A 13,352-nucleotide genomic window follows, 5' to 3' on the forward strand; every position below is an offset into this window, starting at 1 on the left:
TTTAACAGTGAAAAGCACTTAAATAAGTTCCCAACTACTAATCAAATTCATTTAAATTGTATTAAGTTATTCAAATCAATGAAAGGATTGAGAAATGGCTCTAGGAAACACACTAAATTACATTAAAAGCCAGCACCAAGACCCTTCCAACTGCTTTAATTAACCCTTTTTTCCTTTCACAGAATGGATTTCTTTCCTGATTAGATTGGATCAGGTGCGACTATAGTACTTTTCTAACAACGAAGAATCAAACTCACAGCAAGAGCAGAGAAAAAGCAGCCATGGGAACTCTTTTAAAGGACCATCATGCTCCTGCCAACCCAGTTAATTCCATTTCTACTCTAATGTAAAAGGTCAATATTAGTGAGACTTCCTTTACTGAGATGAGTGAATAGGGAAGTCTGGGTTTTTTAATGTTAAGTTCTTGCTGGGGGCAAAAACCTGACTGGATGACTTCTTAGCTAAATTATGCTCTAGAAGAGAATAATTATGATAGGTCAAACTACTGGTGTTCTCTTCAGAGGTACCACTAAGCCTGGTAAGGAAAAACAAACAATCAAACAAAAAACAGGAATAATCAGAATAACATAACAGCAGTGGAACTGAAAGAAACTATAATTAGAAAACCAATGAAATAGAAAACTAGGGTTCCACTCCTCATACTATCATCAAACTGAGCAGGATGACTTCTTCCCTCCTTAGTCTCATCACCTATCAACCAGGATTACTGACTAACCCTATTTCACAAAGGAATATCACCAAGATTAAAGGCCCTTTAGTTATTATGAACAAAACACAAGCACAGATACCGTTGTGTTATACATGATATAGTTCTAAGGCAGCTAGTCAACTCTCCTTCCCAATCACTTGAGCTCTCAGGAGCATCTGGCACTCACCCCTTAGAGCATATCCCTTACATACAGGAACCCCAGCCCTTGGTTTTCATACTACTTCCTGGCAGCTTCTCTTTAGCCCCTTTGACTCCTCTTCTCCCTAACCTCTAAATGCTGGAATCCCTCGAGGCTTAGTCCTCAGCCCTCTATGCTCTCTTGCCAGGTAATCTTGTATTTTCTCGATACAGGAATCTATATTTTATTTTTATTTATTTATTTAGAGACAGAGTCTCCCTCTGTCACACAGGCTGGAGTGCAGTGACGTGATCTCGGTTCACTGCAACCTCCACCTCCTGGGTTCAAGTGATTCTCACGTCTCAGTCCCCCAGGTAGCTGGGATTATAGGCACGTGCCACCATGCCTGGCTAATTTTTGTATTTTTAGTAGAGCCGGGTTTCACTATGATGGCCAGGCTAGACTCCGGACTCCTGGCCTCAAGTGATCAGCCCGACGTGGCCTCCCAAAGCACTGGGATTACAGGTGTGAGCCACCACACCCAGCTGGGAATCTCAATTTTATATAGTATCTCCAACTCGACCTTCCCCGCTTGAGCTCAAGACTTGTATATCCACTTTCACCTGAATGTCCAGCAATCACATCAAACTTACCAAGTCCAAAACTGAATTCCCGATTCCACCACTCTCACACCTGTTCCTCTTCCAGTCTTTCCAAAATGTCTGTCATTCTTTCATACCCCAAATCCAATCCACCACCATGTCCTGTCCACTCTACCTTCAAAATATATCCCAAATTAGACCATTTCTCATCACTTTCACATCTAGAATCCTATGCTTCTACAATAATCTCCTTAACTCATTTCCCCTACTTCCAGTTTTGCCCGCTATAGTCTATTCTCCACCAAGAAACCAGAATATTTTACAAATATAAACCCAGGTCATGTAACATCCCAACCCAAAACCTTCCAGTGGCCTCCCAACCCACTTCAAATAAAATTCTAATACCAGGGAAGATCAAGTTGGAGATACTGTATAAAATTGAGATTTTTATATTGAGCCATAAGACAAGATCAGCTACTAACAGGGAGGGGAGAGGGGAAGGGGGGTGGAGGAAGGGGAGGGCTTAGAATTAAGCCTTGAGGGATTCCAACATTTAGAGGGTGGTGAGAAGAGAAGTTAAAGGGACTAAGGAGAAGGATCTAAGCCTATTAGATCCAGATCCTACTCATTACAATCTCATTTCTTACTACTCTCTGCCTCATGTCTCTAGACTGGCCACACTGGTCTTCTTGCTGTTCCCTGAACACACCAAACTTATTCCTGCCTCAGGGTCTTTGCACTTGCTGCTTTCTCTATTTGGAACACCCATCCCCAAGATCTTTGCAAGCTGCACCCCCAAATCTCATCTAGATCTCTTGCCACATCTTCCGCAATAACTTTCTGACTACTCTATCCAAAATGCCCCCCGACTGCAACCACTCACTATGCTCTCTATCCCCTGCCCTGTTTTATTTTTCTTTATAGTACTTATTACTATAAATATTACCAGTCATTTACTTAACAAATATCTTCAGAGCACCTAATATGACTCTAAAGCAGAGATTCTCAACTGGGGATATCTAGCAATGTCTAGAGACATTTTTAATTGTTATAACTTAGCAGGAAGCTATTGGCATCCAGTGGGTAGAGGCCAAGGATGCTGCTAAAAATCCTACAAGAAAAAAGATAGCCCCCACAACAAAGAATTGTCTTGCACACAATGTCAGTAGTGCAGAGGTTGAAAAATCCTGCTCTAAAGCAATATATAAAACTCTATGCTCTCATGGAGCTTATATTCTAGTGTAAGTATTATGTTACATATTTAGTTGGTTACTTTCTCTCTCCTTTCGATACTTTATTAGCAACACTAGACAGAACCTGGAACACAGCATGAGTTCAACAAATACTTGTTGCATGAATGAATAAAAAAAGTTTTTTCTACCCACATCACTTAAGGAGTTAGAAAGTGACAGAATGCATTACTCCTTATTAAAATATTCATCATTCCCCTACCCACATATTAAACCAGTATGCTTACAACTCAGAGAATGAAGAAAATTCATCTTTCAGTACCACATCCTGGACCTGTACTTTCGCTCTTCTTGGCAATGATGACATCTAGAAGAAACAGAAAATAAAATCAGCAACACTTGAATATTCTTATCACTTTATTTGGCTACAAGTAATGGGTCATTCAAAACTAACATTTCATAGGAAAAAAACAAAAACAATGATGTTTATTCACAAGCCCAAACATCAGTTTCCTCTGCTATGTAGCTGCCAATTAAAAGAGTAGCTGGCTGGGCACCATGGCTCATGCCTGTAATCCCAGCACTTTGGGAGGCCAAGGAGGGCGGATCACCTGAAGTCAGGAGTTCGAGACCAGCCTGGCCAACATGGTGAAACTCAGTCTCTACTAAAAATAGAAAAATTAGCCAGGTGTGGTCGTGGGCACCTGAAATCCCAGCTACTGGGGAGGCTGAGGCAGAAGAATCACTTGAACCCAGGAGGTGGAGGTTGCAGAGAGCTGAGATTGCATAATTGCACTCCAGCCTGGGCAACAGAGTGAGACTCGGTCTCAAAAAAAAAAAAAAAAGAAAAAAAAAGAGTAGCTAACAGCCTTCCAATGGTTTAAAACTCTTAAGAGTATGGGCCATCTTTTAAAAAATATAAACTCCTACAGGGTGACACCTGTAGGAAAACTGTGTGCTTCATTTTTTAAGAATTGTGTGCTTAAGTATTCTGTGTTATTTTATGGTAATAATATCAGGCAGCCCCTTACAAAGTCCTTTATTAAACTATATCTCAAAGACAGAAACATTTTTTTCCTATTCTTTTTTTTTTTTTTTTTTTGAGACAGAGTTTCGCTCTTGCTGTCCAAGCTGGAGTGCAATGGCACGATATTGGCTCACCACAACCTCCGCCTCCTGGGTTCAAGCGATTCTCCTGCCTCAGCCTCCCTAGTAGCTGGGATTACAGGCATGCGCCAACACACCCGGCTAATTTTGTATTTTTTAGTAGAGACAGCATTTCTCCATGTTGGTCAGGCTGGTCTTGAACTCCCGACCTCAGGTGATCCGCCCACCTCGGCCTCCCAAAGTGCTGGGATTACAGGCATGAGTCACTGTGCCCAGCCTATTCTATATATTCTTAATGAATAAAGTAGAGGTCTCTCTACAAAGTTGGCAATGAAATAAATGATGCTGATTGACTGAGTAAGCAGCCAGGTTATTCTTAAAACAAGATAATCATTCCCTTATAATAAAAGTTCATTAAACTTAAATAAAATGATTAATCACTATGTGACTAAAAACTATTTACCAAATTCGAAGGCCAAGCTGTAAAAAAAAGTTAAGACAAATAACCAGAGACATCACATAATACGGGAAAGTAAATAAAATTACTTTAGCTGTTAAGATTAATTAGCTGTTAAAATTAATTAATAAAGGACTTTATAAGTGGCTGCCTGATATTATTACCATAAAACCATCAAACTATAAGGACTACACTAGGCTCTGACATGTTTGGAACCCTTTAAACAAGTTTCTGACCCAGTCATATGTTATAATGCCTCTGGTTCTAACATCCGCTTAGAAGAGGAAATAATCTCTCATGGAAATACTAAAGGGGTTGTCACAAAAGGGAATATGTTCTCCCAGCAGCTATAGCTCAACTCAGTCCAGTAAGTACACAATGATTGGGCAAAATAGTGCTCAGAGGGAACCAAAAGAACAACAGGAAAGCAGTCTGCAGGAAGTAGACAGGATAATCTTCCATCTTTCCCTTCACTCTCTTTTTGGCATATTAGGTTATAAAGATCATCCTTTCTCAAATTAGTATTTTTTAGACATTGATCATGAAAGAACAGGTAATTGTGATTTTTATATTATGTGTATCTTACCACAACAAAATAAGAATGGAGGAAGTTAGTGTATGACAAGGGTGGCATTTAAAATCAGGGCAGGGTAAAAATGGATTATTCAATAAATGGTATTGAGACAACTAGCTATTCCTCTAGAAGAAAAAAAGGAGTTTAATTCCTACCTCCACACCATTAACAAAAATTTATTCCCCAATAACTAATAGTTTAAAATGTACAAATTAAAACTATAAAAGAACTAAGAAATAAAGGTGATTCTTTTCACACTATTGAGGGGAGATGGGGAAATGGAGGTTTTCCTAAATATGACTCCTCAAAATTCCAAAACCAAAAAGACTAACAAATTGCAACACATAAAAATTAAAATCCCAAGCCAGTAGTGGGAGCATATGAGAACCAAACCAATTTACCCTGCAGTATTCTAAAAAAAAAAAATTCATATGAAGCAGTAGCTGATACCTTTGGAATTAAAGGTGAAACGGGTTAGGGCTGTGTATAAACTGACAAAGGAATATCTCTAAGTGTCCTACCTCACTTCATGCTATTAGGCAACTGCCCCAGGAAAAAGACTGTAAGTTTATTCTCTGGAGAAGGTATTAATGAAACAGTCTAGACTGTGGGCATGGGAACCATACAGACTGAATGCTAAAGGCAGAGAACCCTAGTCTTCCGCCACTAAATTCCTAAAATACTGCCCTCTAGGGAGGAGAATGGGAAGGCTTTTCTCTGGAGAATCTAACCAGTCCAAGAGTAAAAACTTGAAGGTGCTAAGCTTCCCATCAAACAACCCACCCAGATCACCTTACAATCACTCCTACCACCACATTCTACAATATGCCTGAATTCAGAACATTCCCACACAGACTACCATATACTAATTCTATCTCCACACTTCAGCCTTAACAGAAATGTGTTTAAAATAGGGACAGGCAAACCCTTGGCAGGCTTATGTTTTTGCTTAACCATTATCCTTAAAGAAGGCTCCCCTAAATCAAATATTTCCAACTGCCTCTTTATAAGGCACCCCGAAAGCAATATACCATGGAAAGATGAGTGAGTTGTAATATTTCTTTTCACAAATGTTAAAAATATCAATGTAAAAGGAAAGGTGGGAAAGCAGAATCTGCATGAACACACAAGCCAATTTCAAGCAGATCAGATTTAGAAAGAATATATACAAAAGCTGAAGACTTGGAAATTATGTCTTTAAAACTACCTACGACAGGTACACCCCCAGGAGTATGTATTCTCCAGTTTAAACACCAATATTCTTGAGGCCTGTTTCTCCATCTCCACTACTCCCATATCCTCTTACTTTGTGTCATAAAACTTGTTAGATTAACCAAAACCTCATCCATCTCCACGGTTTTACATACCGATGTCACCTACTTATTAACAATCCTAATCCCTCCATCCCAAACCGTGCCTTTAACATTCAGATTTCTATAATAAACTGCCTGTCTCTGAAACTATTTAGATGTCTCACAGTTAACTTAACACATCCACAATGGAACTCTTGATGACCATTTCTTGCTCTAAAACCTGTTCCTATTCCAGTCCTTCCCATCTCAATAAGTGGCACCCACCTATTTGCTAAGCCAGAACCTTGAAAAAAAAAATTTTTTTTTTTTTTTGAGACGGTCTCACTCTGTCACCCAGCCTGGAGTGATCTCAGCTCACTGCAAACTCTGCCTCCCAGGTTCAAGCAATTCTCCTGCCTTAGCCTCCTAAGTAACTGGGATTACAGGCGTGTACCACCACACCCAGCTAATTTTTCTATTTTTGATAGAGACGGGGTTCGTCACGTTGGCCAGGCTGGTCTCGAACTCCTGGCCTCAGGTGATCTGCCTGCCTCGGCCTCCCAAAGTGCTGGGATTACAAGTGTGAGCCATGGCGCCTGGCCAGAAAATTCTTTAACAGCTTCATTGACATATAATTGACATGCAATACACTGCACATGTTTAAAGTGTGCAAATTTGATGTTTTGACATATGTATACATATCACTACAATCAAGAAAATGAACACATTATCATCCTCCAAAGTTCCATTTGCTAAGTCAAAATGTTACAAATCTTTTTTTCTTTCATCTCACATATCCAGACTATTAGTAAGTCACATAAGATCCTCCTCCAAAATGTCTTGAATCTCCACGATCTTCAGTGAGCCTTTAGTCCTCAACCTCCCTCACTTGAACTACCACACTCGCCTCTTAACTGCCCTCCCTACTTCCACTCTTGCCCCTGCAACTCATTCTCCACTTATCAACTCAAGATCATTTAGAATATGCTTTAGAAACAACGAATTACTTCCCACCCCATCCTTCACTTAGAATCAAGCCACATTTTTATGAGGCCTTTGAAAAGGCCCTGTCGGACTGAGCCCTGCTCACCTTTCTAACCACCTTTACTACTTGCTGGAGCTCCTCAGCTCTTGTCATAACATTCTTTCCCACCTCAGGTACTCTCTGCCTGGAGTATTCTTCCCCCTGCTTGTCAATTGGCTGGCTCCTTGCATCCCTTAGATCTTAACATTTCAGGCCTAAAATAGGTTTCTCAATTATATTTTAAAAGGAGCCTATTTACTTCCTGTATACAGTAGGTTATAACACAATCTGTAATTATTTTTATTTTACTTGTTTATTGCTTGCACTGCTGTCAAGAGAGTAAATACCATGAAAGAAGGAAATGCATGTGCCTTATTCACTTCCATATCATAGAACCTAGCACTTAACAGATGCCCTACAACTATTAAATGAACATAATATGTACAAATATGGTCTCTACAGAGGAATATACATTTATTTTCCACCACTCTTAGGCAATGCCACACATTGCATTCATCTCTTTCTGAAGAAGTGATGGCACATAAGAATATTCCTATTCTTCAGTGACTTGGGATTTTTCCCTCCTTTCAAACTATCTTAATCACTGTAGGCACATGAGCATATTCCAAACCAATAATTTGGAGGTTGCTATGATGTTACTAAGGGAAGAGCCACTAAACTAGGACGACTGCAAATCAGGACAAAGGGGCAAAAGGACGTGCACACTAACAAATACTAAATTAAAATTGGAAAAAAAAATTTAAATTCAAGAAGGCAAACAAAGGAGGACAATTTCTTAAGAAGCACCTAAACAAGTTTCCATGAAGGACCAACAGAGTGCTTGAATGTTAGCAGATTCCCAAGTCACAAAAACAAAATACTAGAGCTGAAAGAACCTGAGATCAGACAGTCCCGCTATATTCAGAAATCTGAGACCCAATGAGGTGAAACAGTTTACTCAAAGGGGAAAGATATGTGGCAAAGGACTATAGCCCAGTGCCTGGAACACCAAGACTAGTCTCGTTTCCCATTCCACACACAATATGTTAATGACATGTCACGTGAGGGGTTCGAGGAAAGTTGCCTAGAGAGTTCCCAATTCATTCCTTTCCTCCGGTTACTGAGCGCCTCCTACATGCCAGGCGCACTACAGAAGGTGCAGTTGATTCAGACAGGGCCACCATGACCGTGAAAAGGGTGCTTCCTCTCCCACCTCCGATAATTTTAGGTATAAAAACAATCCAGGTAAATTAGCCGGGTGTGATGACGGGCGCCTGTAGCCCCAGCTACTCGGGAGGCTGAGGCAGGCGAATGGCGTGAATCCGGGAGGCGGAGCTTGCAGTGAGCCGAGATCGCTCCACTACACTCCAGCCTGGGCGACAGAGGGAGACTCCGTCTCAAAAAAAAAAAAAACAGGCTTGCCCAGGCTTTTCTATGTCTGTTATGCGCTAAGAGCTGCAGCAATTTGGCTGAAAAGAGGTGTCACGAGGTAGCTAGGAGGGGTTTTCGGGTGGTCGGTTGTGAGAGACCGCTGACAGTAAAATGTAATGAACTTCTCACTTTTAAAAAAGGGGTGTTATTGCCCAAATGAGCGCTCAGAACTTTTTTAATGGCCCCAAAGATCCCGGAGCCCGGACGCCGGGCTCTTGAGAACCCGCAAGACGACCGCCAAGGCGCACGCACAGCTCACCTTCCCGCCCGGCACGTCAGAAGACCCGAGATTCCGTGAGTGCCACCGCACCTTCCGGTTCCCGCCGGAAGTTTTTCAAACGCCAGAAGGTCCGCCTCGCTTCTTCCGGACCAAGTTAGCCACAGACCTCCAAGGCGCGGCGCTACCGAACGGGGCGGAGCCAGGCTGGACGGAGGCGGGGCTAGAGCGAGGATCCCGAGGGAGCGCCGGGGTGGGGCTGGTTCGTAGAAATGAAAAATGACTTTTTTTTTACGTGTTATTTACCAAGAACACTAAACTCTTAAGCCCACAGATACAGCCAAATAAATTAGATTATAAAAGTAGGGAAATAAGGCTGCTGTTGTCTACATTCGAATTTAGCAGATCAAAACCCCATGGATTTGTTTTAGAAAATTCTAAAAAGCAGCTTTCCACTGCTAATGACTTATTTCCAGGGACTCTGAGTACTGAAGAGCCTAGCAAGTTATTGAAATGACCTGTGACCGTGCCTTGTTGCAGATCTACCGGAAGTGAGCATAGATTTTACTGGATAATTTTTGTGATTGGGGGAAAAAAAAAAGGATTCTTTCTAAATTTAGTAAATCTAATCTTCTATATCTGAGATTGTTGGCCAGGAAAGATCAGTTTCCGAGATTGTTTAGGGATTTTTTTTTCCTTTTAATTAGCACAGTCGTATGTTGCCTTTAGTGATGGTTCCAGAAGGCCTAGAATTGTCTACTACAATCACAGTCTCCTTCACAATTTATGGTCCTGAAGAAATACTAGAGAACACCTTACCGTTCAGGATTGTGGGAAGAGAAACCAGATCATAGAAATCAACAACAATAATGTACTACTTACTATTCACCTACTTTTGATGTTGCATTTGCTACTCAGGTTTATGGTAAGGGGTTGTCTTGGTCAATTTTCTGCTGCTGTAACCAAATACCATAGACTGGTAGATTTATAAAGAAAGAGATTTGTTTGGCTTGTAGTTCTGAAGGCTGGGAAGTCCAAGACAGAGGGCATTATTGTTGTGTCAAAATATGATGGAGGGCATCATACTGGGGTAGGGGTGGGGGAGGCATGTGAACCCAATTGACTCCCGAAATAACTAACCCTCCTGTGATAATGGAATTAACTCATTCATGACCTAATCATTTCCTAAAGGTCCCACCTCTTCATACTATTACAATGACAAGTTTCAACTTGAATTTTTGAAGGGGACATTCCAATCATTGCAGAGGTAGTAAGGGTAAAGGTGAACTAATATACTGCAAAGTCTTTTGACATAAGTCCTGCCCTGGAGGAATTTACGACCAAGAGTAGGAACCAGATACAGCCAGAGGAAACAGACACCCAAGCAAAACAGTCTAGCTTCAAGGGTTGGGTATGCAGGTAGTAGCCACACTACAGTGAGGAGGAGAGTAAGAGTGGGCCAGCAAAGCATTGAAGCTTGACTTTCCTCTCCCCACAAGGGATTTTTGCCTTACAGCTGGGGAAGAAAAAAAAAATCACAAAAATAAATAGCCTGTTAAGATTTTAGACATCAGACATCTGGGGAAAATAAAATCTGAAGCAGGTTCTCTAAAATTAAAGTATGTAGGTAGTGGCCTACTCTAAAGGCCAATAAGGACTGTCCAGAGAATATTTCCCTTGGAATTCTATAAGAGAGTCACTCCCACTACACGCTGTCAAGGAAAATTTGTAATCACTTAAGTATAAAACAGGCCCTCCCACAAAAACTGCCTTTTCTGTCTAGGACATTGCCCAATCTATTGTTTACTTTTGGATCTCAAGTGCTGAATTCCAAGAAATTCATGGGTTTAGACTGAAAGCCTGGAATAATCCGGACACCCACCTGAGACTATGCAATAGGGTTTGGGAGTAATGAAAACATGTTTTGGATTTGATGGAGGTTGTTTTATCCCTCCAAAGTATATAGCTCTTCCCATGATATTCACTGATACATTATCATTTGTATGTTATTATCTGTTTTCAAGTCCTTCCCCTATGGGTTCTAGCTCCCCAGGGCAAATGTAATAATAATAGTAATAACTTACCTTTATTGATTACTTACCTGTGCCAGGCACTAAGTTAATGCTTTTAGATGTATTTATGTATATAATTCACATATTACCCCAATGCAATATTGCTATTAAACCATTTTTATAAATGAGAATACCAGGTATAAAGAAGTTAAATAATTCATCTAAGGTCACATCAGCTAATAAATTGTAGATCTGAGATTCAAATCCAATAATCTGCTTTACTCCAAAGCAAGTACTCTGAAAGGTATCCACATACAATTTGCTGTCTATCCACAGGGGATTGGTCTGAGGACCCCCCACAGATAGCAAAATTTACAGATACTCAACCAATCAGTGATAGAAAAAGTTGGCCCACCACATCTGCAGGTTCCATATCCATGAATGCAGATACAGATGGCCAGCTGTACCACAAACTCAAAGCAAAGACCTTTTCTCGCTCCACTATGGTGGCCAGTGAGACTCTCAATGTTTAAGGTGCTCCAGAACTGTCGAATCTCTAAATACTCTAAATAAAGTACTGTCTAACCACCTGAAACATAACAAAGCTATTCTCTCTATTGGCCTCAAACTAAGTTTCATAAGAACAAAAATTCTTAATATATTAATAGATGCAACTGTTTCACCTACTAATAGATATTTGGATCTAGGAACTAACTCTTGGTAATTTTTTATCTCCCCCTCTCCAACTTCTCCCTCCACCTACACAGTGCCTAATAATGCTTAACATATAATAGGTACTCAATAATATAGTAGACTAACTCCTGGACCCAAAAACATGTCTAAAGTAAAAACAAATTTTCCTCCCCTCTCCACCTTCTCCCGCCACCCACACAGTGCCTAATAATGCTTGACATATAATAGGTACTCATTAAAAATAGTACACTAACTCCTGGACCCAATAATATGTCTAGAGTACAAACAAATTTCTCTTATGAGAAAAGTAAGTTAAAGCTCTTGACACAGAAGGTGGGTTGCCATTTTAAAAATCAAGTGTACTTATGAAAATTCAAACATTTTATCTCTGAGAGTCAATCAGTGTGATGGTTAATTTTGGGTGTCATCTTGACTGGATTAAGGGATGCTCAGACAGCTGATAAAACATTACTTCTGTGTGTGTCTGTGAGAGTATTTCCAGAAGAGACTGACATTTGAATCAGTAGACTAAGTAAGGAAGATCTGCCCTCACCCAATTTCGGTGGACACTATCCAATTGGCTGAGGCCCAGATAGAACAAAGAGGAAAGGAATATTTTCTTTCTCTCTCTTTTGGAGCTGGGACACACTTTTTCTCCTGCCTTTAAGCATTAGAACTGCATGTTCCTTTGGACTCCAGGACTTAAATCAGTGTACCCTCTCAGCCCCATGTTCTCAGGCTTTTGGCCATGCAGTGAGAGTTACACCATTGGCTTCTCTGGTTCTGAGACCTTCAGACTTGGACTGAGCCCTACTGCCAGCTTCCCTGGCCCTCCAGCTTGCAGATGGCCAATCACTGGACTTCTCAGCCTCTATAATTTTGTGAGCTAATTCCCTAAAAAATATTCTCATATATCTTTATGCTGTATTTATTACACAAACACACACACACACACCCTACTAGTTCTGTTTCTCTGGAGAATTCTAATACAACTAGCAAAGGCAAAAATGATAATAATAATGGCTGTTTCAGATTAAAGAATGAGCAAACAAACTGAGCCCTAGTTCAAAAATTTGCATATTTAATTAGCCAGGCATTGTAGTGGGCACCTGTGGTCCCAGCTACTCTGGAGGCTGAGGCAGGAGAATCGCTTGAGCCCAGGAGGTGGATGTTGCAGTGAGCCAAGATTGCGCCACTGCACTCTGCACTCCAGCCTGGATGACAGAGTGAGACTCTATCTCAAAAAAAAAAAAAAAAAAAGTATGTATTAGCTCCTATCTCCCCTCTTTTCCCACTGTCAGACGTTCTTATTCCTAAACACTAAAGCTCTTTGGCTTCAATGACCTTCTCTGACTAATTCAGCCAGAAATCTGGAGATTTACTGCAAAATGAAAGAGACTAGTAAACAGAGAGGGGCCTACTTCTGTTTCCCAAATGAAAAAGGAGTTTCTTATTAGTGAGGCTGACCAGGCTGGTAGGTGGGTTCTCAAATTTGGCCTGTCCTATTAACTCTTTCAATCTAGCTGGGAACAGCAGCATGACTCCAAAGTGCTAGACTAGTGCTGATGCCATTGTTCTAGCCAGAGTAACTTTGTCAGTCTTTCTTATGAAAGAGTAAAGATTCAAGAGATTAAAACCTGAGTCTTTATTAAATATTAAATGGATCTGGAGGAAGCATCAGTTAAGGTTGAGGAAATTAATTGTACAGATTTGTCAAGGAATTGGAATCAAAGGGATTGTATACATCAAATTTATCTCACACAAAGTAAAATTATGGAAACTGCATATTGAAATACAATATAATTTGTATCTTTAGGTGAAAACTAAAATGTTCAGTGCTTTATCCTACTTATTTTGTACAAATTCCTAAGGTATTTTGTAATGAATGCAGTTATAAATAGGATT

At 40.4% G+C, this 13,352-nt stretch overlaps 1 protein-coding gene across 6 annotated transcripts in view, besides 1 other annotated feature; it reads right to left on the reverse strand.

Annotated features, from left to right (window-relative positions):
- The window catches only part of SRBD1 (S1 RNA binding domain 1), a 222,588-nt gene extending 213,755 nt beyond the window's left edge, over positions 1–8,833 (reverse strand). For all 6 annotated transcript variants that reach the window (NM_018079.5, XM_011532946.3, XM_047444860.1 and 3 more), the window contains exons 1-2: positions 8,785–8,833; positions 2,928–3,007 (exon numbers count right to left, since the gene is read on the reverse strand). In NM_018079.5, the coding sequence (NP_060549.4) occupies positions 2,928–3,007 (80 nt within the window). In that variant the 5' untranslated portion in view covers positions 8,785–8,833. The remainder of the gene's footprint in view (positions 1–2,927; positions 3,008–8,784) is intronic.
- Positions 8,484–8,653: an enhancer, noted in NCBI's record as "active region_15687". NCBI's record gives its function as "activates an Ori minimal core promoter by ATAC-STARR-seq in GM12878 lymphoblastoid cells {active_cell/tissue: GM12878}" and the evidence as "EXISTENCE:reporter gene assay evidence [ECO:0000049][PMID:35858748]".
- Positions 8,834–13,352: the final 4,519 nt, after the last annotated feature.

The sequence above is a fragment of the Homo sapiens genome, chromosome 2 (assembly GCF_000001405.40).
Source record: "Homo sapiens chromosome 2, GRCh38.p14 Primary Assembly".
Taxonomy (NCBI): domain Eukaryota; kingdom Metazoa; phylum Chordata; class Mammalia; order Primates; family Hominidae; genus Homo; species Homo sapiens.